Source organism: Homo sapiens, chromosome 1 (genome assembly GCF_000001405.40).
Source record: "Homo sapiens chromosome 1, GRCh38.p14 Primary Assembly".
NCBI lineage: Eukaryota > Metazoa > Chordata > Mammalia > Primates > Hominidae > Homo > Homo sapiens.
In genome coordinates, this window is record NC_000001.11 from 212,405,248 (window position 1) to 212,429,938 (window position 24,691).

A 24,691-nucleotide genomic window follows, 5' to 3' on the forward strand; every position below is an offset into this window, starting at 1 on the left:
CATACTTCTATGGAGTCATACTTCCATACTACACTCCACACTAGGCACTGGAGTTACAGTAAAGGAGGAGAAGACAAAATCTGTGTGCCTCACAGAACTTGTAGGGCAGTGCCAAGGGATGGATAACAATTAACTGAATAATTAAACTCAATAAATGTGACCTATCAACTGTGTTAACTGTTACAAAGGAAAGCATATCACAGGGAGAAAGGGACCTCATCAGGGAAGTCAAGGAAGGCTCAGAAGGAGGGACAAGTTCTTCCTTGGGTAACCGGCCTTCTGTCTCTATATGCCTGAGTTCCTGGAGGAACTTACTCACCCTCTTTGTGGTGTCAGCACTTGGCATAACAAGTGAAGCAGTCCTTAATTGATCTGCTACAGGGAGGGGAGAATTTGGAGCAGGAAAGCTCTCATCTAGGAACAACTGAGCCAGAGTCAGAACACCTTGCGAGACAGCTCTGGGTATGGATTTGAGCCCTGCCACTCATGAGCTCTGAGCATATTCCTTAACGTCTGTGCCTTGGGTTCCTCATCTATAAACTAGGACTAACCGTTCACCTCACAGAGTGGCTGTGAAGATTACAGGATAAAGTGTATATAAAAAGCCCTATAGGCTCAGAGCAATGGCTTGCACCTGTGATTCCAGCACTTTGGGAGGTCAAGGCAGGAGGATCACTGGAGCCCAGGAGTTTGAGACCAGCCTGGGCAACACTGCATGACCTTGTCTCTAAAAATAATTTAAAAATTAGCCAGGTATGGTGGCGCATGTCTGTAGTCTCAACTACTCGGGAGGCTGAAATGAGCCATGATCACACCACTGTACTGTAGCCCAGTCCACAAAGCAAGGTCCCACCCCACAAAAAAAAAAAAAAAAAAAAAAAAAGCCCTAAAGCCCTACACAGGCCTAGTACATGAAAGCACCCCCAAAATGGCAACCACTATCACCATTACCATTATTTTTATTATTATTATTAGAAGACTCAAAGGGGCCAAGCATGGTGGCTCACGCCTGTAATCCCAGCACTTTGGGAAGCTGAGGCAGGTGGATCACTTGAGGTTAGGAGTTCAAGACCAGCCTGGCCAACATGGCAAAACCTCGTCTCTACTAAAAATACAAAAATTAGCCAGGAATGATTGCAAGTGCCTATAATCCAGCTACTCAAGAGGCTGAGGCATGAGGACTGCTTGAACTCAGGAGGTGGTGGTTGCAGTGAGCCAAGATCGTGCCACTGCACTGCAGCCTAGTTGACACAGGGAGACTGTCTCAAAAAAAAAAGAAGAGTCAGAGGCAAGAAATGAGCTCTGAGAGTTGTGTATCAGTCCATCAAATTTGAGCCAACTCACTACTGACCCAGCCAAATGGACTCCTGAGATCTGAATCTTCTGTGATTTAGAAAGGAGATGAGCCCAGCTCATCTGGTTCCCCCAAAGCAACTGGGAAGGCTACCCCAAAGCAAGTGGGAATGCTCTTGCCAGTTGATGGAACTACCCAAAATTTGCTCTGCCTGAGGCCTGGCTTCCTATTCTGATTGACCCCAGGCTTTGCAGCCCCAGGAATCTGAGGCAAAAGAGAGGCTGCTAAGGTCCAAGGACATTAGGGCCACCTCCTGATTTACCTGGGCACTTCTCTATGAAAGGAAACACAAAGACAAGCCTCATCTTTCCAAGTCTGGCCTCCCTCCTCTTCTTTCTCCTGCCTCCATCTATGCACTTCTGGTTGGGGGCAAGAGGGTAGTGCAAGGTGTGGTAGGCAGAATAAAGGCTCCCAAAGATGTCCAAGTGTTAATCCTTAGAACCTGTGAATATGTCAAGTTGCATGGAAAAGGGGAATTAGGGCAGCAAATGGGACTAAGGTTGCTAATCAGCTGACTTTAAAGCAGGGAGATTATCCTGGGTTACCTGGGTGGGCCCGATGTGATCACAAAGGCCCTTTAAACACAGAAAAGGGAGGCAGGAGAGTCAGCATCAGAGTGATGTCATGTGAGAAAGACTCGACGAGCCACTGCTGGTTTTGAAGCTGCAGGAAGGGGCCACAAGCCAAGGAATGCAGGAGGCCTCCAGAAGCTAGAAAAGGCAAAGACCAAGTTCTCTCCTCAAGCCCCTAGAAAGGAATTCAGGCCTGCTGACAGCTTAATTTTAGCCCAGTGAGATCCATTTTGGACTCCTGACCTCCAGAACTATAAGATAATAAATTTGTGTTTTTTTAGGCCACTAAGTTTTTGGTAATTTGTTATAGAAACAATAGAAAACTAATATACAGGTCTTTCAAGTTGTTCTCCCGGGAGCCTTAGGGCTTTAGAGGCAATGCCTCATGTCAGAGGGAGGATTAGCCGTGCTACTATCTTTTACATATTGGGCTTTAATAAAAGAATGCTTATTGTTTTGTGTGAGTGTTTTTGGTTTTTGTCTGTTTGGTAGAGGCAGGATCTCATTTTATTGCTAAGGCTGGTCTCAAACTCCTGGCCTCAAGAGATCCTCCCATCTTGGCCTCCCAAAGTGTTGGGATTACCACCACTTAAAATAGTTTTTATAAACCACTGATGTAGGCCAGGTGCGGTGGCCCACGCCTGTAATCCCAGCACTTTGGGAGGCTGAAGTGGGCGGATCACCTGAGGTCATGGGTTTGAGACCAGCCTGGCCAACATGGTGAAACCCCATCTCTACTAAAAATAAAAAAGTAGCTGGGTGTGGTGGCACACGCCTATAGTCCCAGCTACTTGGGAGGCTGAGGCAGGAGAATCACTTGAACCTGGGAGGCAGAGGTTGCAATGAGCCGAGACTGTGCCACTGCACTCCAGCCTGGGTGACAGAGTGAGACTCCATCTCAAAAAAAAAAAAAAAAAGAAAACACCACTGGTGTAGTAGAGAGAGTTTAGGGTTGGGCAGAGTTTGACTCAGTCTGTGTTTACCAGCTATATGACCTCCCCATGCTTTACTCAACCTCCCTGAGGTTGGGGGCCTCATCTGTAAAAGGGGGATAACCACTTCACAGGGTTGATGTGAGAATTAAATGGGGCAAATGGGGTACGACAGATCCTGGCACAGGAGAAGCAGTCAGGAAATGTTAGCTGCCCTTCCAGCCTCCTTCCTTCCAGGCAGTCTTTTTTTACTTTATTTTATTTTTTTTTTTGAGGCAGAGTCTCACTCTTGTCACCCAGGCTAGAGTGCAGTGGCATGATCTCGTCTCACTGTAACCTCCGCCTCCTGGGTTCAAGCGATTCTCCTGCCTCAGCCTCCCAAGTAGCTGAGATTACAGGCATGTGCCACCACACCTGGCTAATTTTTGTATTTTTTAGTAGAGACAGGGTTTCACCATGTTGGCCAGGCTGGTCTTGAACTCCTGACCTCAGGTGATCCACCTGCCTCAGCCTCCCAAAGTGCTGGCATTACAGGCATGAGCCACCGTGCCCGGTCCCTTCCATGCAGTCTTCTGTAAGGAGCAGGCAGAACCACATTAGTTCCTGTCTTGTTCCCCTCTCCCACAAACAGATGGGATCCATCCAAGAAGTTGAAGTCAGGCTGGGGCTTCATTCATTCACTCAACAAATCTTTATGGCGTGGTCAAGGCTAGGCTGGTGAGCAAAACAGACTGGTCTCTGCCCTCAGGGAGTTTCATTCTAGTAGAACAGGGGTCCCCAACCCCCAGGCCACAGACCAATACGGGTCCATGGCCTGTTAGGAACTGGGCCAATACAGTAGGAGGTGAGCAGTGAGTGAGCATTACCACCTGAGCTCCACCTCCTGTCAGATCAGCTGCAGCATTAGATTCTCATAGGAGTGCAAATCCTATTGTAAGCTGCACATACAAGGGATCTAGGTTGTGTGCTCCTTATGAAAATCTAACTATGTCTGATAATCTGAGGTGGAACAGTTTCATCTTGAAACCATCCCCCAACCTCCATCTGTGGAAAAATTGTCTTCCACAAACCGGTCCCTGGTGCCAAAAAGTTGGGGACTGCTGTAGTAGAACAGACAGACATTAGTCAGACAAACAAACGCACCATTCCAACAGCAATAGCCGGAAAGGAGAGGCGCGTGGACTATGAGACGGTGCTGGAGGGTGGGAGGTAATCTGGCCAGAAGGTTAGAGAAGGCTCTGTGGAAAAAAATGAGTGAGCTGAAAGCTGAAGAATGATTAGGCATTAACTATGTGAAGAAGGAAAGTGAATTCCAGGCAGAGAAATAAAACAACAAAAAGGCCCTGTGGTGAGAGGGAATGAGGCCTAAAATAAAAAAAGATCAGCATGGCTGAGGGCCAGAGAAAAAGGGGATGAGAGGAAGGAAGGAATGGAGAACTACTCTGAAGTTCAACTGCGTTAAGTGGTAGTACCATTCCTGCAAACAGGAAATACTGGGAGAGGACCAAGCTGGGACTGAGATGATCATGAGGTCAATTTTGGACATGTGGAGTTGAGGGAAGCTTTGGGAGATCCAAGCAGAACTATGACATGGGCAGTTGGAAATACAGGATATATAAATTTGCGGTTTGTAGGTAACCTCTGGGCTAGAGATGTAAACATGGGAGTCACGTGTGAGCAAGCAGTGGCTGAAGCAAGGGAGCAGGCCTGGGTAGAACTGTCTATGAGAGTGAGAGAAAGGGGCCTGCAACCAACATTTCATGCCCAAGAGCTGGAGAGTGACCGCAATGGAGCCTGGAAGGAGTGGCCTGAGAAATGCTGCATCACAGAAGCTAAGGGAGCAGCGTGTATCCGGGCGGAAGAAGTAGTCAGCAGTGTCAAACATTGCCGTAGGGCTCCATAAGATGCCAACTGACTGATGGGACCCTGCTTACCCAACTGAGCAGCATTACTGGACAGGCCTAGTATCTGAAAGAGGGGGCCTATTAGATCTTCTTTGACCCGGATATTAGAGGCTCACCTGCTAGCAGTTTCCAGGGAAAGAGGAACAGAAGAGCAGAGATCCAAAGCATTTGCCATTGTATGCAATGACCTGACCTCAGGAAGTGGCTCAAATTGGAGTTAAGAGCAGATACCAGCCTAGACATATCCTCTGTTCCAAGGCTGGTTAAATATGTATGGCTTTAAAACTAGGGCAATACTTGAGACCTGACACCAGGGTGCAGGGAAGGGGGCTCCTCCTCTCCCACAGTTGGCAAGGCGCCTAGACTGGGGTGTCCAGCTGCAGCAACAGCACAGCAAAGCACCAAACGCACTCACCTGGTAAGATACCCGGACCTTGGACTCTGACCGTCTCCTTGTCCTGCTCGTCTGCCAGCTCTGAGTTCTCAACCACCTGGACCAACTCCTCACTCAGCTAAAGGGAGAAGCAAAGAGAGCAAAGACAAGTCAGCTATGTCAGCCTTGCTTTTCTACACTAGAATAAGAAAGCAGAAGCTGCTTGTCACTTAATTGTCACCAAAAACCACATGACATAGAGTGTGTTACAGCAATTTTACAGATGAGGACACCGAAGCTCAGAAAGCTCAATAAACTTTCTGCTCTCTGTGTTCCTAGGACTACTGTAGCAAGTACCACAAACCGAACAGCTTAAAACAACGGAAATGTCTTCTCTCACAGTTCTGGAGGCTAGAAGTCTGAAATTGAGGTGTTGGCAGGGTTGGCTCCTTCTTCTACGAGTGGTGAGGAAATCTGTTCCATGCCTCTCTCCTGGCTTCTGGTGACAGCCAGCAATCCTTGGAGTTCGTTGGCTCGTAGAGGCATCCAATCTCCACTCTCCGCTGCCATCTTTACAAGGTGTGCTCTCTCTGTGTCTTCACATGGTCATCGTCTTGAAGGACACCAGCCATGTTGGATTAGGGGCCCACCCTACTCCTGTATGACCTCATCTTCACTAATTACACCTGCAATGACCCCATTTCCAAACAAGGTCACAATCTGAGGTACCTGGGGTTAGGACTTCAACATATCTTTTTTAAGGAAACACAATTCAACCCACAATATTTTCCATGGCCATAAAGCCAGGGAAAGATATGGCAGGAGTAAAATCCAAGTTGGTCTAGTTCCAAAGCCCATAGTCTTAACCACTTCCCAAAGGAAGAGGAAATACGGCTTAGAGTCTGCTGAGAGAAAAGAGGGAACAGTGAAGGTGGTGTCAGAGCTCTCTCTGGCACTCTGGCTGAAGTCCACTGACTTGGGCTGCAAATGGCAGAACACAGCAGGAAGGGCAGGCAGTCCACCACAGGGATAGGTGCTGATTATAATCAGCAGCCTGGTAGCCAGCAACCTCAACCTCACTTCACCAGTGGTCTCACCTGTCAAATGGGGAAAATTATACCACTGAGAAGGGAAGAAGGACGGAAAGGATACCATGATAATCAACAAGTCTCTGTAGGATTAAGGAGGAGGGCAAGAGAGCTCAAGACCAGAGCTTAGAAGAGAAGCCATCCCTGAATTGGGAGGGAGAGGGGACAGCTTTCCCAAGCACTTTGTCAGGTTCACAGCATCAGTGTTTAAGGTTTTAAGGTTTCTAGACATTTTCATTAAAAACTCACCTCCAAGAGACAAGTGAAAAACATCTCTTACGAATCTATTCTTCTATCTCCCTCTCCACGACTCCACTCCTGCCCCTTAGAATCAGGCAAAATCTCCAGTTTAAAGCCCTCGAAGCACAAAAGAAAAGGCCAGGTGCGGGGCCTGACACGGTGGCTCATGCCTGTAATTCCAGCACTTTGGGAGGCCGAGGTGGGCGGATCGCCTGAGGTCAGGAGTTCGAGACCTGCCTGGTCAACATGGTGAAACCCCATCTCTACTAAAAATACAAAAATTAGCCGGGCATAATAGCGCACACCTGTAGTCCCAGCTACTTGGGAGGTTGAAGCAGGAGAATCTCTTGAACCCGGGAGGCGGAGGTTGTAGTGAGCCGAGATCGCACCATTGCACTCCAGTCTGAGTGACAAGAGTGAAACTCAGTCTCAAAAAAAAAAAAGAAAGAAAAGAAAAGCAACCAGTGGGAAAGGGCAGGGAGGCTGGTGAAGGCACCAAGAGATATAAGCCACTAGCAGGAGCACAGATAAAGAGGTCTCACTGGCCAAAGGGAGAGGAGGATGTTAGTCCTGGGAAATCTCAAAGTTCCCTGATTCAAGCCTCACTCAGGTTCACCCTGACCCAGGTGCTAACACCCTCCCACCAGGTTCCCTTCCTGACTACCCACAGCCATAATGAGCCTGCCTCCTTGCCTGCCCCTGGCCAAATTCTCAGTATATCCCACCCTCCCCAAGGAAAAATCCCCCCTCAGCAAATAAACCTACTCAGAGCTAGGTACACTCACAGAATGGTTCAGGAAGAAAGACGCCGGCCATTTTCTGGGTGGCCCCATTCTCTGAGGAAGTGAGAGACAGGGACTCCAGAACAGGCCTCTGAAGAAGGCAAGGGGAGGGCACCCTTCCAGTGCCTCCCACTTTGGAGATGCCTCCAAAGAGAAACTGAGTCTACCCTGGGCCTTGGCCCTCCAAGCGGGGTAAGTGCCTATATTTTAATAAACATTTTATAAGCCCTGCTAGGCTGGCTATGTGTGGATGGTGAGGCACATGTTCCTGCTAAGCCAGGACCCCAAAGCATCCTGGACGCAGGAGCTGCCCACACCGTTAACAAGAGCTATCATTCACTGTGGGGTCACCATTTGCCAGACACTGAGCCAAGCGCTTTCCACACCAACTTATCTAATCCCCAAACAACCCTGGGAGGTAGGGACTTTTATTATCTTCATCTTTCAGACAAAGAAACTGAGGCTCAGAAAGTTATGTGACTCAATAAAAGTCACACAAACAGCAAGAGGCACAGCCAGGCACGAACGTGGGCTTTCTGACTTTTATCCACTGTGCTCCACACCCTATAAACCTAAAAACTTTCAGACACATCTCATTCCCCAGGATTCCCCCACTGTTTAGGGTACAGAATCTAGGGGTCATGGAATCCACAGCACTGGTTAAAATCCCTCAGACTCCTTTCAGACAAAGGAAACAGATGGAATAAAGGGGATGGGAGGAGAAATATAGAAATCTGTCCAAGGCCAGATTCCAGCCAAGATCCTACACTAAAAAATGGCAAGCCTTAGGCAAATCTCATCTGCCTTCAAGTTGGCTTCTCCCTCCACTGTAGGGCTAAGCCACCTGCTTTATATAGTCCACAAAGCCCTTCTGTGAATCAGTCTTTTACAAAGGGAGATATGTACAGCAGTAACTATTGACTAAGACAGAAGGCAGCAAGTTCATTATGAGAAGGACAGACAGAAATGCAGACGGGTCTGGAAAGCGGACCCCTATGGAACACATGGAACTTGAGGTAGCCCTTGACTTCTGGGGGCATTTTACCCAATGGAGCTTGGCGGAGCGTTGATGAAGGAATGGAGTGAGCACACGCACAGAGGCAGGAGCACATTTTAAAACTGAGTTTCCACTGTGCCAGACCCTAGGTGGGTTAGGAGGTGGCAAAGGTAATGGGAGACATGGCTGCTGTGCTGTTCAGAGCTTTGGGAGCCTGCTGAGAAGTCTGGACTGTTCTGGGCAGACGAAGGGCAGCGTCAGGTCTGAGAAAAAAGGAATGCTCCGAGGTGAAGGCAGGGCCTCAAGGCAAATCTGGAGAGTATAAGAGACTAAAGGGAGCGATGGTAACACAGTATCGCACTCAGAGGTTACAGCAAACACAGGGACACAAACTGGAGGAGGACCGACCTGGAACTGCCTGACTTTGGCCAATGAGGCGGCACGATGGAGGGGCACAGAAGAGGACGGTTGCCAAAGATGACCAAGGTTTGGGGGCCGAGAAGTGGAGGCGGAGGAGGAGAGCAGTTTCACTAATACAGCTGGAGAAGTGAGGAGGCAGGGCTTGCTTGAAGGAAGCGCTGGACGCACAGCCTGCAGCGCAGGACAGAGAAGAGACAAAGAACTGGAAAGTGATAAAGTCGTGGGAGGAGGTGAGACTGGAGGGAGAGACGAAGAGGAGCGAGAACTAGCAGAGTCCATGAAGGCACTTTTTCAAAGTTAGGTGGTCACCAAAAAACAGGTAATCAATCCTGTCACCAGCCGCGGGGACAGCGAGGCCTTGGGCTTGGAGGGGGAGGATGCCGACGATGCCGACCGCGCATCAGATCTCGCCGGGAGGAGGGCGCGGGCGCTCCACTTGTTGCAAAGAACGCCGGGTTCCTCTGGGCCATTGGGCTGCCGCTCCGGCGGGGAGCGCGGAAGGCTGGGCCTCAGGTAGCTTCAATCATTCACCTGCTGGTTACGGGTCGCGGCGCCGGGGACCCTACTCCGGACCTCGGCCATGCAACCCGCAGCATACGGAGAACGCTGGGCGCCCGCTCCGCTGCCCCGCTTCCTTCCTGCCCCTGGGCCGCTCCTCTGCACCCCGGGAGCCCTCCCCTGACGCACCCGTCGGTCCCTCGGAAGAGCCCTCTGCCGCGCAGCCCCGACACCCCCCGCCCCGCATCCGCCCAGGCCCCCGGGACCCTGCTCCTCCGCCTCAAACTTCCCTTCCGTCTCTCACAACCTCGTACCTCCTGGTAGGATGTGGAGCGCTCCTGCCGGATCATGGCACTGACCAGAGCTTCGGCACACCTGAGACCGCCCCAGCCCGCGGCGCACGGACGCAGCACTGCGGCCGCTGCACCTGGACCTACCGGCTCCGCGAGGCGAAACCGGTCCGGAGGGGCGTCCCAGAGACCAGGCGTGGCGATACTCGGCGCATGCGCCTGGCCGCTGCCGCCCAGGAGTCGCGAAAGTGTTGATGGGAAATGTAGTTCTGGGCGGGGGCGCCCCTCACACCAGCTCTCACCCCTGTGGCGGAGGCCTGCATGTGACCCTGGGCCAGCTAAGCTGGTCCTTAGACGCGTGCCTCTGCGTCTCTCACTTCCTCTCTTTGTTGGAGGGGGAGGGACGGAGAAGAGGAGTGGAAAGTGGAACAAAGTCAGATGAGTAGGAGCCCCTAATCTATAATTGCAAGAGGAAGCTTGGCCTGGCGGTTTAAAACGGTAATAAATGTCTGGAGAGCACTTTGTATGTTAGTTACAAAGCGCTCTCACTCACATTATGCCGTTGATTCTGCAAGGAACCCTGTAAGAAGGACATTTTTCTCCCTAATTTACAAATGAGGAAACTGAGGTACTTTGTTTCAGAAAGGATGCGGGTGGAGCGGTAATCAAATGAAGATTATTTCATCCAGGGGTAGACTGCGGAGCCCATGTTCTCTCCATTATTCCAGGGGCAGGAGTACCCCTAGGTTCTTGTCCTGGCTCTGACCCTCCCCTTTAGGTCTTGCAATGCTCTGAGCCCTCCTCTCCTCGCCTTAGAATGCAACTGCTAAACCCTGCCCTGCCTGACAAGGCCTATGAAAGCAGAAAGGAAGGATCGTGCAGAGAAAGCCTAAAGCCGCTGTTCAGCCACAGAAGAAGCCTCAAGCGCTAGATGTGGCGTCAAATCTGGTGTTGGCCCTGTGGCAGGGTGGACCTGAAGACCACATCTTCCTCTCCTCCCACTGCCTGAAACAGCTGTTGTGTGAGGGCCCTCGGCTCCTCAGTGGTGAAGCAGATAGAGGCTGCTTGTTGTGCCTTGGTGAATGCTGCTCTGTGTCCCTTGCAGCTGCAGCTTGGTAACCCCTCCACTCAGGCCACTGGGAGCCTCTTCTCTCCTCAGTGATAAGCAGAATAGTGCCAGCCACATCAAAGAACCCTGGACCTCCTGGAGCATTAGCAATGGGAGGTCCCCATCACCTCTCCTGACCACTCACCCCTATCCTAGGCCCTCTGCTCTTAAATCTGTTATATGGGACAATATATATAGTGCCTAACACATTGTAGGCACTCGACAAATGTTTGTTAAATTTATGAATGGAACACTGATTCCAGCCATTTCATTTAACAGTTGCTTACCAAAACAAATTAACAATAGCAGACCACTAATTAAATTCCTTACTGTGTTAATACAATGGTACTTGATAGAACAAGTTCACACCATCATAGAATATTAGAGCTGGAAGGAACCAGAGAATTCTATTCCAACCCTGTCATTCCTCTCTAGTCTTTGTTGGTGTGACCAAACTGGAAAATTATGGGCTCCCACATTTGAAGGAGATACTGGCTAATAAAATATAAAATATGGCTTAACAAATACAATGTGCTGGGCACTGGGATACAGAAATGGATAAGATACCCTTGGGTCCTGGCTTTCGTGGCTCTTTCATGCAACTGTGGAGAGACAGATCATAAACATGTAAATAATGTTCTGTCCTTGCAGCCCCCAAGTCCTCTCTCCCATTCCTTCATGAGCACACACCAGTCAGGCTTTACTCCCCTCCACTCCACTGGAACAGTGCTTGTCAAGGTCACAAGTGACCTCAGTGTTGTCACATCAGATGGCCATTTTCCCATCCTCCTCTTTCTTGATTTATCAGCCACAGTGGACTTGGCTGATCCTCCCTCCTCCTTGATACGCGTTCCTCCCTGGCTTCCAGGACACCACACACTCCCGGCTTGCTCCTACCTCACTTTGAAGCCATCCTCACAGGGTTAACACGAATTCTGCACAGAAATAGAGTTATAATTAAGCATTAATCAGGCTGTAATTTGACCCACTTCCTTGTAGCCAAAAGTCATGTAGCACTAGATACTGACCATTTGCATCTCCACTGCTCCTACAGGTAGGATTTCTGACATTGGAATCATAAGGCTTTTGCTTAAGAATTGTTTAAGGCCAGGCCCAGTGGCTCACGCCTGTAATCCCAACTCTTTAGGAGGCCGAGGCGGGCGGATTGCCTGAGGTCAGGAGTTCGAGACCAGCCTGGCCAACATGGTAAAACTTCATCTTTACTAAAAATACAAAAATTAACCAGGCATGGTGGCGGGCACCTATAATCCCAGCCTCCCTAGCCTCCCTACTCAGGAGGCTGAGGCAGGAGAATCGCTTGAACCCGGGAGGCAGAGGTTGCAGTGAGCCAAGATCACACCATTGCACTCCAGCCTGGGCGACAATAGCAAAATTCTGTCTCAAAAAAAAAAATTGCTTAAAATGTTTTTCAGATCACAAATTCCAGTGAAACAGCTGACACCAACAAGTTTGAAGACACCAACAGAGGAATGGAATCAGCATGAGAATACAGCTGCTTCTCTCTCTGTCCAATGATTTCACCCTGTTCCCTTTGGCCAATCAGCAGTCTCCACACTTCAGCCTACTCCTTAAAAACCCTTAGAAAAGCCGCAAACTCCTTGAGAGAGGGTTTGAGGTTCCCCTCCATCTCCTCGATTGGAGGCCCTATTGGTAAGCCTCTTTTTCTACTGCAACTCCGTCTTGGCATATTGACTTGCTGCACACATCAGGCAACAGGCCTATTACAGTTACAGTTACTGCTCTTTCTCAGCCTCTCTGCTGACTTCTCCTCATCTCAGCTCTACAGGGCGGACTTTCCCAAAGCTAGGTTTGTTGTTGTTGTTTTGGTTTTTTTTAGATGGAGTCTCGCTCTGTCACCCAGGGTGGAGTGCAGTGCGGCAATCTTGGTTCACTGTAACCTCTGCCTCCCGGGCTCAAGTGATTCTCCTGCCTCAGCCTTCCAAATAGCTGGGATTACAGGTGCCTGCCACCATGCCTGGCTAAAATTTTCATATTTTTAGTAGAGACGGGGTTTCGTCATGTTGGCCAGGCTGGTCTCAATCTCCTGACCTCAAGTGATCTGTCTACCTCAGCCTCCCAAAGTGCTGGGGGAATTATAGGCGAGAACCACCACGCCCAGCCCCAAAGCTAGATTTTCCACCTCCTTTCTATTCACTCCGTAGGGGCTAGTGAAGTGGTCACCTCTAGCCTCATGGCTTGAATTATCATCTATACCCTAAAGATTCCTGCTATAATTGACTTGTGTTCCCCCAAAATATGTTGAGGACCTAGACCTCAGTACCTCAGAATGTGACCTTAGATGGAAATAGGGTCATTGCAGATGTAACTAGGATGAGGTCATATTGGAGTAAGGTGATCTCTCAGTCCAATATGACTCGTCCTTATAAAAAGGTGGAAGACATGGGCCAGGGTGGTAGGATGCTAATATATCTGGGGGATGTCAAGAGAGGCCTCCTGATGGCAGTTACTTTTGAGTTGAGACCTAAATGACAAGAAGGGACTAGCACATGATGGTCTGTGCGGGTACAGGCAGAAGGCACAGGTACAGTACACAGGCCCTAGGCTGAAGCCAAGCAGAAGGCAGTGTCAGTGGAGAGGACCACTAGGGGCATGTAGTGTAACCACCTGATGGGTTCTTCCTGCCTGCTGTATAGACAATATCAATTCACTGAGACCATGGCATTGCAGTAAAGAAAGAGTTTAACTGACTGAGGCCACAGGGAGACAGAGTTATTACACAAATCAATCTCCCCAAGCATTTGGGGGCCAGGGGTTTTCAAAGGTAGTTTGTGGGATAGGATAGGGGTGGGTGCTTGCTATTGATTGGTTGGGGTTGCAATCACAGGGGTGTGGGAAATGGTCCTCCAGTGCACTTAGTCACTGCTGGGTGGGGGCCACAGGAGTGATTGGTGGGTCCAGGTGGAGCCATCAGTGTCGGACATGCAAAAAACCCGAAAAGACATTTCAAAAAGCCAAGCTGAGGTTCTACGATAGTGACGTTATCTGCAGGAGTAATTGGGGAAGTTGCAATGTCTTGTGACCTCTAGAATAATGGCTGGCAATCATTTACATGTATACCTTAGCAGGAGGCATTTTCAGGAGTCAGGGCAAGGGAGAAGCCAGGGCTTTTTTTTCCCTGTTCTCTGCCTCTCACAGTTTCCCTTCCATGGCTCCAGCCCCTGATACAAAGGCTTTTTGTGGTCCTAGCTTCAGCCAGGTGACTCAGGCCCTTAGACTCTAATAAACACCACTGTTGCCTGGCGTGGTGGCTCACGCCTGTAATCCCAGCACTTTGGGAGGCTGAAGCGGGTGGATCACCTGAGGTCGGGAGTTTGAAGCCAGCCTGACCAACATGGAGAAACCCTGTCTCTACTAAAAATACAAAGAATTAGCCGGGCGTGGTGGCGCACACCTGTAATCCCAGCTACTCGGGAGGCTGAGGCAGGAGAATCACTTGAACCTGGGAGGTGGAGGTTGCAGTGAGCTGAGATTGTGCCACTGCACCCCAGCCTGGGCAACAAGAGCAAAACTTCATCTCAGAAAAGATACATAAAAATAAATAAACACCCCTGTTACCCTTCCATTGGCTGGAATGGTGACTTCCTGCTGTTGATACTCTTGGTTGCCTCAGGGTTATTGTCTCAGCTTCTTTCATCACCTGTGTAACTGGCTCCCTGTATTCAGCCATTCTGTTCTATCCAGAATGGTTTCTATTTTGGGAGAGAGAGCATCAGGATAAATAGCTAATGCATGTGGGGCTTAATACCTAGGTGATGGGTTGATAGATGCAGCAAACCACCATGGCACACGTTTACCTATGTAACAAACCTGAACATTCTGTACATGTATCCCAGAACTTAAAATAAAATAAAATTTTAAAGAAAAAGAATACTTTCCATTTTTCTTGCCGGTGACTAACGGATTCCAAGTGCTTTGGAAAAATATGTCTGGGTTCAAGTAGAAAATGACAATCAGAGGGGTGCCTGGAGAAATCCAAGGGCCTATAAGCATGTTATTCATGTATAGACTTATCCTCAGCATCTCAGGGAGGGGGGAGTTATATGGGATCAGTAGAAATTAGAAGGGTCTTTTGGCTTAAAGATGTTCCTTACAAACAGAACTGTAGAAAGAGAAAGGGCCCAAGCAGAGAGGCAGTACAAGGTATGATAGGGATGTTATCGTGACATGCATCAGGAAGGGGATGATATTCAATTCGGGGGTTTTCAAGGGCCTCCTCCATCCCCAGAGATCTTGTGACACAGTGTAATGTAGATACTGCACTTCGAGGTTTACAATTCCACTACCATTGTTAGTTTTAACACAGTCCTATGAAAGAGGCAGGCTGGCATGTTACTAATGTGGAAATTGAGATTCAGAGTAAAGTTAATGCACACAGATCCTGTTTAAGTCACTCTGCACTAGAAACCCATCCTGTTAAATAAGTAAAAGTATAAACATTTGGTATAGTCGCTGGGGGGAAGGATAGCCTGGTGGTTATGGCAGGCTGTAGGACACATGGCCTGTGCTTGACTTGGCTCTGTCACCTACTGTGAGAGCTACGTGAGGTACTTAAGGTCCCCTGACATAGTAATAGTTATGTCCCAGAGTTAAAGTGAGGATTAAAAGAGCTTATAAACATCAAAGTGCTGAAACCAGTACCTGGCATACAGTGAGCCCTTTTCTGGTCTCCTTTGCCAGTTCTACCAACCACCAAATGTTAGGAGCTCAGTCCCCTCTGTCCACATGCACTTCCCTTGGCGATCTCAGCCATTCCTGTGGCTTTACATACAACACCTATGCCAGTGAATTCCAAAATTTCTATCTCCAGCCCAGAACTCTCCCCTCATTCTAGACTTGTATATTTAATTGCCAATTTGATACCTTCAGTTAGATGTCTAACACACATCACAAACTGAACAAGCCCCAAATTGATCTTGATCTTCTCCTCCAAAACCTACTCCTATATCAATAAATGGCAATTCCATCTTTCTAGTTACTCAGGGCAACAACCTCCAACTCACCTCTGACTCCTCTCTGTTTCTTACATCCCAAGTCTCATCTGTCAGCAAATTCTATCAACCACATCTTCAAAACATATCCATAGTCAACCACTTCTCACCACATCCCCAGGCACCACCCTGGTCCAAGCAGCCATCATCTCCCACCTGGATTATTGCAGTAGCCTCCCGGCTTCAGCCAGAGTTATTCCATTAACATTTAAACTTATTCTGTCACAGGTGTCCTAACCAGAATGACTCCATCTTGAATAAAGGCCATATAAAGCCAAAAAAAAAAAAAAAAACTGCTGGGTGACTTTCTCAGGAAGTTAGGCACTCTTTATCACAAGATGTCTAGGGCTGAGGAAACAAGTTAATGGAAAAAGGCATTCTTAGTTTAAAAATGGGTTTTACTCTAATGATGCTATTAATAGTACACCCATAAATTCTCGCTGAAATCAATAGTTACACAAGAGAACATGAATACTAATATCCTGTCACAAGCTGATCACAGGACTTTATAATAAAGTACACTATTCTTAGCCCTAATATCCTATGTAAGCAAGCGTTACATTAAGGTAGAGGCATTCCTCCTCTTGCTTTCTGAGCATGCCCTACTCTGTAATAGAGTGGTTTCTAATAAACTATTTAAACTTTACTATACTCTGTGACTTGCCCTGAATTATCTCCCTGCAAGAGCCAAGAACCTGCTCTTGGGTTCTTGGATGAGACCCCTTTTCTGGTAACATTTTCCCATTGCATCTCCACTGGAACCTTAATGAGGTGAGACCCTCCAACCCAGAGGAAATACACTGTGCAGCACCAATTGGCCAACTTTGGGTAAGTAGTGGAATATATTTTTATAGTGGTAAAGGACGGGGTACTTGTCTAAAACTGGTTAGAGGTCCAACTAGGAAGGGTTGGAGGCCCTCCACATCCTCATAGCTGGATATGGATTCAGTGTGACGAGATATTAACCATTACTCCCTTTGGATTAGCCCTCCTTGCACTCTTGGCTGCTCGTTAAAGGCTGCTACTTGCCAGTTTCCTGATTGCTGTCTATGTTTTACTGCTGTGTTTTCCTGCTGTTTTTCACAGGCCTCACTTGACCAGTCCTGATATTTTTAACTTTTCACTTTCCTCATTTGCCTTCAGATTATCGGCTCTTCGCCTGTCTGCTCCGGCATCCTGTTAAGGTACATTGGGGATGAATGGTTCTGCAAGATTTACTTTCCCTATATGTAGCCCATTTACATGAATTATTTATTGCCTCCCCTTCTCTCAAAATTGAAACTTGGTACTTCCAATTTTTATTTATTTATTTATTTATTTATTTGGAGATGAAGTTTTGCTCTGTCGCCCAGGCTGGAGTGCAGTGGCGTGATCTCAGCTCTCTGCAACCTCCGTTCCCCAGGTTCGAGTGATTCTTATGCCTCAGCCTCCCGAGTAGCTGGGACTACGGGTGTGTGCCACCATGCCTGGCTAATTTTTGTATTTTTAGTAGAGACGGGGTTTCAGCATGTTGGTCAGGCCGGTCTTGAACTCCTGACCTCAAGTGATCCACCCACCTCGGCCTCCCAAAGTGCTGGGATACAGGCGTGAGCCACCGCGCCCAGCCAGTACTTACAAATTTTAAATGAAAAATTCCAGGGTGTATGATTGAGCCAGGCAGCAATTATGCCAGTCCCATGTAGACAAACAGCTATAGAATAGGGAATTGGAGATTTGTTTTTAGCAGTTCCTTTTCATCTGCTCACTAATCAAATGACTTTTACTTCTTGGTTACGGACAGCAAGACCATGTAAGTTTCACCCTGCTTGCCATCACTGTCCTGAGCCTGGACATTCCTTCCCGGGTCTGTGTCATTTCCCTTGCTTAATGAGACATTTCTTTGTCAAGTCCCCTATTGTGGTCTCTCTAGTGCAAATGGCCCAACTCATTATTTGGGTAATATGAATAGCTGAATTAAAGTGACCATGGGGGCTGGGTATAGTGGCTCACACCTGTAATCCTAGCACTTTGGGAGCCCAAAGCAGGAGGATCATTTGAGCTGAGGAGTTCAAGAGCAGCCTGGGCAACATAGCAAGACCCCGCCTCTATTTTTATTAAAAAAAAAAAAAGTGATCACAGGATCATTTTCCCTTGCTCATTTGGCTCTGAAAGCTCTTTCATCCTTTTTAGTGGAGCTTGGCCAGTGGCAGTACAACCTTATTCACAATGATCTCTATTTTCACCTTTACCTGCTCCCTTCATGGGTAACACAGCCTTAATCCTAAAAAGCTCACCACTAGGGTACATATTAGAGCATTGGGACCAATTTAAATTAGGTGGGCTTAAGAAAAAGAAATGTTTATTTTTATGTAATATTGTTTGGCCCTAATAGGGCCAAATAATAATGTTATTATTCCAAATAATAATAATGTTATTTGGAAAGTCAAGAAAAATGGCCACCTAATGGAACTACAGCCTTTAATAGTTATACTTCAACTTGATTTGTTTTGCAAGCAGGAGGGAAAATGGGGTGAAATACCATATGTTCAAACATTTCTATTGCTTAGTCAGGATAAAACTTTAAAACAAGCATGTGCATATTTAATGAAAATAAAAGAGGAAAACTAATTAGATATTCTAGATGATCTTTCAATGCAAGCCTTGGTCAGTTCCAATGCTTCAGGTGCATCTGCCCCTGTCCCTTCTAGCCCTTCTAGTAGTTCTGTTGAGACCTCTTCATCTCATCCTCCTTACCCGTCTAGCCCTATTTTACATCTACCTCCTTCTGAGATGCTTAGTCCTATTCTGTACCCGTTACTCCCTGAGGAACCCAGCCCCACCTGTATTACCCATAGTGGAGCCTCTTAGCAACTTTCAAAGGAAAATCTTTGCTTAGAGAAGTGGTAAATGGGGAACAGGGCACTATAAGGGTATGTGTCCCTTTTTCTATGTCTGATTTGGCATTATGCAAAGAAAAATTTGGTTGTTTCTCTGAAGACCTAGGAAAATTTATAGATGAGTTTGAGAAACTAACTCTGACATAATTTAACCTGGCAGGATTTGCATATTTTGTTATCCACCTGCTGTACAGTGGAAGAAAAACAGTGGATTTTGGAAATAGCTAGGACACATGCAGATGAAATGCTATCCCACAATTCTAATCATACTATCTACAGGGTTGGGGGTATTGCAGTTCCTGATCAAAATCGAGGATGGAATGATCAAAGGAATAGTGAAGACTGAGAAGAGAGATCACATGATCACTTGTTTATTAGAAGGGATAAACACATGTACGAAAAAACATGTTAATTATGATAACGTGAAGGAAGTTACCCAAGGTAAAGATGAGAATCTGGCTTTGTTTCAGGGACAATTGAGGCAATTAGGAAATACACTGATCCCACTTCAAAAGGACAAACCTGATTAGGGGTACATTGTATAATCCAGTCTGCCCTTGATATCCATTGGAAACTGCAAAAAAAGCAGCCTTGGTTCCCCAGACTACTATGAACCAGTTTTGGGACACGGCATTTATGGTTTTTAATAACAAGGACAAGACAGAGAAAGCAGAAAAACTTAAGACAGCTTCTCAAAAGGAACAGCTCTTAGCTGTGGCCTTAAGCTTGCCACACATATGGGGGTTGCCCTTACACTTCTCAGCCTTGGCAAGGGAAGCTAGAAGGCAGAAAGCCCCAATCTGGGCTTCCAGATCACCGCAACTTGAATATAAATTAATGTGCTTGCTGTAAGACAACTGGCCATTAGGAAGAGGCGCACCACTCACTCTCGGGTTTGCTCAGACATCCTTAGTTTAGGTGCTGAAGGCCAAGAGTGATGGGGCTCAAGACCTTCTGCCACAGCTCTCATTGGGCAACAAAACCATGTATCTGGAGGATCCTGGGGTAACCCTTGAAGTGGCAGGTAAGAATATTAATTTCCTTCTCTATACAGGGGCTGCTTGCTCTGTTTTGGCACATTATGAAGAGGCTTTATCATCCCGAGACTGTATGATCACAGGGATAAATGGACAAGCTCATAGGTGCTGTTTTAGCATCCTATAAGCTGCTCTTCTTTTTTTTTTTTTTCTTTTTTTGAGACAGAGTCTCATTCTGTCACCAGGCTGAAGTGCAGTGGCACGATCTCGTCTCATGGCTTTGTATGTTTTTCTTTTAATGCCTGAATGCCCTGCCTCTCTTTTGGGAAGAAATGTATTAATTCAGCTTCAAACTGTAGACTCTTTCAGAGATTACAAGGTGGATGAGGAATTGCTTTTACTTCTCTCCAAGACAATGGAGAAAAATTAATAGAGATTCAGCTAGCTTGCATGTTGTAGTAACCTCCCAAATAGATCCTATGGTTTGGAACATTTAAGTTCTGGGGAGGGCATTACATACCCCTCCAGTTTGTATTTAACTTAAACCAAACCTGGTGTCTCATATTCCCTGGAAAAGACAATACCCTCTGAGACCAGAGGCACAAAGAGGAATCCAGCCATTAATAAATAAGTTTCTGCAGTTTGGTTTGCTGAGACTCTGAGTCTCCCTGTAATACTCCAATCTTGTCAGTTAAAAAGACAAGTGGAGACTATAGATTTGTTCAAGACCTCCTGGTTGTCAATGAGGCTGTTGTTCTCATACATCCTATAGTATGCAATCCTTACAGGCTGTTAGCCCAGGTCCCTGGGGGTGCTAATTGGCTTACAATCTTAGATCTTAAGGAAGCCTTTTTCTGTATTTTGGTGCACCCTGATTCACAATCCATCTTTGCTTTTGAATGGACTGACCCACATAGTCATTTAGTTTCTCAATTAACTTGGACAGTTCTTCCCTAGGGGTTTGGAGATACCCCTCATTTATTTGGAAATGCGTTGGCTAAAGAATTTAAAATGTTATGATTGGATAAGGGCACCATTATTCAGTACTTAATGATCTGCTTATTGCTAGCCAACCAAAAGGGACTCAGACAATAACACCATTTCACTGTTAAATTTTCTGAGAACTAATGGGTATATAGAGTCTTGCTGTACAAGGCCTAGATTTCTTTTCTTTTTATTTTTTTGAGACAGGGTTTGGCTCTGTCGCCCAGGCTAGAGTGCAGTGGTGTGACCTCAGCTCAATGCAACCTCCATCTCCTGGGGTCAAACAGTCCTCCCACCTCAGCCTCCCAAGTAGCTGGGACCACAGGTGCACACCACTACACCCAGCTAATTAAAAAGAAAAAATTTTTTTAGAGACGGTTTTGCTGTGTTGCCCAGACTGGTCTTGAACTCCTGAGCTCAATCAAGTGATCCTCCCACCTCGGCCTCCCAGAGTGTTGAGATTACAGGTGTGAGCCCCTACGCCAAGCCAAGGCCCAGATTTCAACTCAAAAAGTTAAGTATTTGGGATACATCTTAACTCCTGGCACCCGGGCAATAGCCCTGGTACAAAAAGAAGCTATTTTGGGTGTTCCAGAACACCAAACTAGAAAACAATTGCGGGCTTTCCTAGGGATGGCAGGATTCTGCCATTTATGGGTACCCAGATTTGGGATATGGCCAAGCCTTTAGATGAGGCTCTATGAGGAGCAGACTCAGATCCTTCTGAATGGGATAACAATTATAAACACGCTTTTAATACTCTCTAAGAGTACATCTCCAGCCTTAGGAATCCTCAGTCTTGACAAACCAGTCTTCGTTTACGTGGCTGAAAAACAACAAACAGCCCTGTGCATTCTTGTCCAGAAACTAGGAGATATCCTTTAACTGGTGGCATACTTTTCTAAGCAATTATACCATGTAGCTTCAGGATGGCCCAGATGTCTCAGAGCAGTTGCAGCAACTGCTATTCTGGTAGATGAAGCTAACAAATTAACTTTGTGGCAACATCTGGAGTTTTTGACCCCACACCAAGTACAAGAGGTTCTAGAAGCTAAAGGACACCTATAGATAACCAAGATATGCTTATTAAAGTAGCAGGCTTTATTGTTTAGACACTCCTGATATTACTCTTAAAGGATGCCAAACCTTAAGCCTGGCTACTTATCTGCCTGAGGCTATGGACCCTCTAGATCATTCTTGCATGCAAGTTATGGAGCAAATTTATTCCAGCTGGGCAGACTTAAAAGATGAGCCACTAGATAATCCTGAAACAGAATGGTTTACAAATGGGGGCAGTTTTATGTATCAGGGAAACTGGAGAGCCAGGTAGGCTGTTGCCAGTCAGCATGAGGTAATCGAAGCCCAGGCTCTGGCTCTAACAGCTTCTAGCTCAGCTCAAAAAGGAGTTAATGGGCTGGGTGTGGTGGCTCACACCTGTAATCCCAGCACTTTGGGAGGCCGAGGCGAGTGAATCACCTGAGGTCAGGAGTTTGAGACCAGCCCGACCAATAGGACGAAACCCCGTCTCTACTAAAAATACAAAAATTAGCTGGGCATGGTGGTGGGCACCTGTAATCTCAGCTATTCGGGAGGCTGAGGAATCACTTGAACCCAGGAGACGGAGGTTGCAGTGAGCCAAGATTGCACCATTGTACTCCAGCCTGGGTGACAGAGCAAGACCCCATCTCGCTCTCTCTAAAAAAAAAAAAAAAAAAAAAAAAAAAAAAAAGCAGTTAATGGCTCCTACCATAGCCCTTCAATTGGGAAATGATTTAAGAATGAATATTTACACTGACTCCAAGTATGCCTTTCTGGTCTTCATGCTCATGTTATCATTTGGAAGGAACAGAGATTCCTAACTGCTGCTAAGGGTTCCTGTATAAAATACCACTCAGAAATTTTAAATCTACTAGATGCTGTCCTGCTATCAAAGGAAGTTGCTGTGAGTCACTGCAGGGGGCATCAGAAAGGAGACTCCACTATAATAAAAGGAAATTCTTTTGCAGGTGCTATACCTAAGGCAGCTGCATTAAGGGAGCCAGTCAACTTTGTGGGCATGTTGGTACCCACTGCCCTGGTGATGACAAAGCCAGAGTATACTAAAGGAGAACAGGAATGAGCTAAAACCCATGGATTAACTTTAAACCCTTCCAGATGGCTAATTGATGAAAATGGCAAGCTATATGTACCAAAGGCTGATCAATGCAAAGTAGTTAAACATGTGCATGATTCCACTCATTTGAGAAGAGATTCCCTATTTCAACTGATGACTTGTCTTTTTATAGGAAAAAACCTTCTTAAAACAGCAAAACAAGGGACTTGGGCCTGTGAACTATGTGTCCAAAATAACCCAAATAATCAAACTTTACCTCCTCCTTTAGTAAATCCTGTTCAGCACAGGGGAACATACCCAGGTGAAGACTGGCAAATAGACTACACTCAAATACCCCCATGGAAAGGATTCAAATATTTATTAGTATTCATTGATACCTTTACTTGTTGGATTGAAGCTTTTCCTACCTGGTCTGAAAAGGCAACTGACATTTCTAAATTTTTATGAAAGGAAATAATCCCTAAGTACCTTTACCTCCTCCTTTAGTAAAGCCTGTTCAGCACAGGGGAACACACCCAGGTGAAGATTGGCAAATAGACTACACTCAAATACCCCCATGGGAAGGATTCAAATATTTATTAGTATTCATCGATACCTTTACTTGTTGGATTGAAGCTTTTCCTACCTGGTCTGAAAAGGCAACTGACATTTCTAAATTTTTATTAAAGGAAATAATCCCTAAGTTTGGGCTGCCTAAAAGCTTACAGAATGGCTCATTTTTCACAGCAACAAGAACCCAAAATATATCACCGGCTCTAGGAATTCAGTATCATCTTTATTCAGCATGGAGGCCACAGTTTGCAGGAAAAGTAGAAAGGGCCAAACTTCAAAGAGGACTCTTGCCAAGTTATGCCAGGAAACATCAGAAACCTATTCGTCTCTATTGCCTGTGGCCTTGTTGCTAGTTTTGGCTGCCCCTAAGGGAAACTTGCAGCTCAGCTCTTTCGAAATAATGTATGGAAGTCCTTTCTTAACTGCAGATTTCCTAGTAGATATAGATACTTTCAAATTACAGAACTACGTTATTAACTTAGGTCGGGTGCAAAAAGCTCTTCTTGAATATGGAAATCAGAGACTTCCTCCCTCCACTAAGGAAGAAAATGCTACAATCCAGCCAGGAAACTGGGTTCTATTAAAAACTTGGAAGGAAGGGTCTCCGTTAGATCAACCTTCCCCAAAGTACTTGTACAAAGTACTCTACCAAGTACTCCTTAGTACCCAAACTGCAATTAAACTTCAAGGAATAAGCAGCTGGGTTCATTTATCTCGAATTAAACCCATTTCTTATGAAGTCCCACAGGCTGAGACTGATCTCACTTATCCCTGTGTACCAACCACTGATCTCTGGCGCCTGCTCAGAAGAAACAAGAAGGATGAATAACTTAAAGATTTGGATTAACATCTTAATTCTGCGCATGTATTGGAACCAGCTAAGAAGCAATCTCTTTGCCAAATGGGCACAGACTTTAGCCTCCCTACACAACAACACTAATTGCTGAGTATGCACGGAACTAATGCCTCCTCCACCTCAGGCTGCCCTGGCACATCCTGCCAGCCACTATGAGCATATGGGGAAATTATTATGATTGGGGTAAATGGACCACCCTTTTTCCCTTCTACTACAGAAACACAGGGCCCAGCCCTTTCCCTTCCCACCGTGAAACAAAGAAGCCTCTTTTTTGTTTGATCAGAAAATTAAACTCCACTCTGACGTAAGGTTATACTGTACACGATGAATGGATGACAGCTGTCTAAGTTCAGGTATTAGGCAGAGTGCCCCTATGCTTTGAAAGACAATAGCAGTGATTACTACACTGAAACCTGTAACATGGAATGGTTACTACCCCAACACTATAATTGCACCCTTCTTGTAACTAGCCAAACGTGGATGGGATGGCAAAATGAGTCTTTATGGCTAGGTGCTTGTACTTCTCCTTGGGGTTGATTATGGGCATGTGGGTCACATGGCTGGCCATATGTGCCTTATAATTGGACTGGAAGATGTACATAGGGTCATCTTCATCTCCCAGGATGTATCCTCACTAAATTATAATCTCTCCCATCTAACTGGGAAACTGTAAAAGCTCGTCATAAGTGACAAAAGCAGTCTTCTTGGTTGTTTTACCCATTGGCTATCTGTCACATGTGTCCGT

At 46.5% G+C, this 24,691-nt stretch overlaps 1 protein-coding gene across 12 annotated transcripts in view, besides 1 other annotated feature; it reads right to left on the reverse strand.

Moving 5' to 3' along the window:
• Positions 1-9,639, reverse strand: part of PACC1 (proton activated chloride channel 1) — a 50,959-nt gene extending 41,320 nt beyond the window's left edge. For 6 of the 12 annotated variants that reach the window (NR_165303.1, NM_001377478.1, XM_047424320.1 and 3 more), the window contains exons 1-2: positions 9,475-9,639; positions 5,178-5,274 (exon numbers count right to left, since the gene is read on the reverse strand). Coding sequence is in view for 6 of the 12 variants with exons in the window: in NM_001377478.1 (NP_001364407.1) it covers positions 5,178-5,274; positions 9,475-9,510 (133 nt within the window). In the remaining 6 variants the exon portion in view is untranslated. Of the gene's footprint in view, positions 1-5,177; positions 5,275-8,650; positions 8,834-9,474 lie in introns of those variants that run through there. The other 6 variants (XM_047424318.1, XM_011509718.4, XM_047424316.1 and 3 more) reach the window with 3 other exon arrangements.
• Positions 9,291-9,350: a silencer, noted in NCBI's record as "silent region_1794". NCBI's record gives its function as "represses an Ori minimal core promoter by ATAC-STARR-seq in GM12878 lymphoblastoid cells {active_cell/tissue: GM12878}" and the evidence as "EXISTENCE:reporter gene assay evidence [ECO:0000049][PMID:35858748]".
• Positions 9,640-24,691: the final 15,052 nt, after the last annotated feature.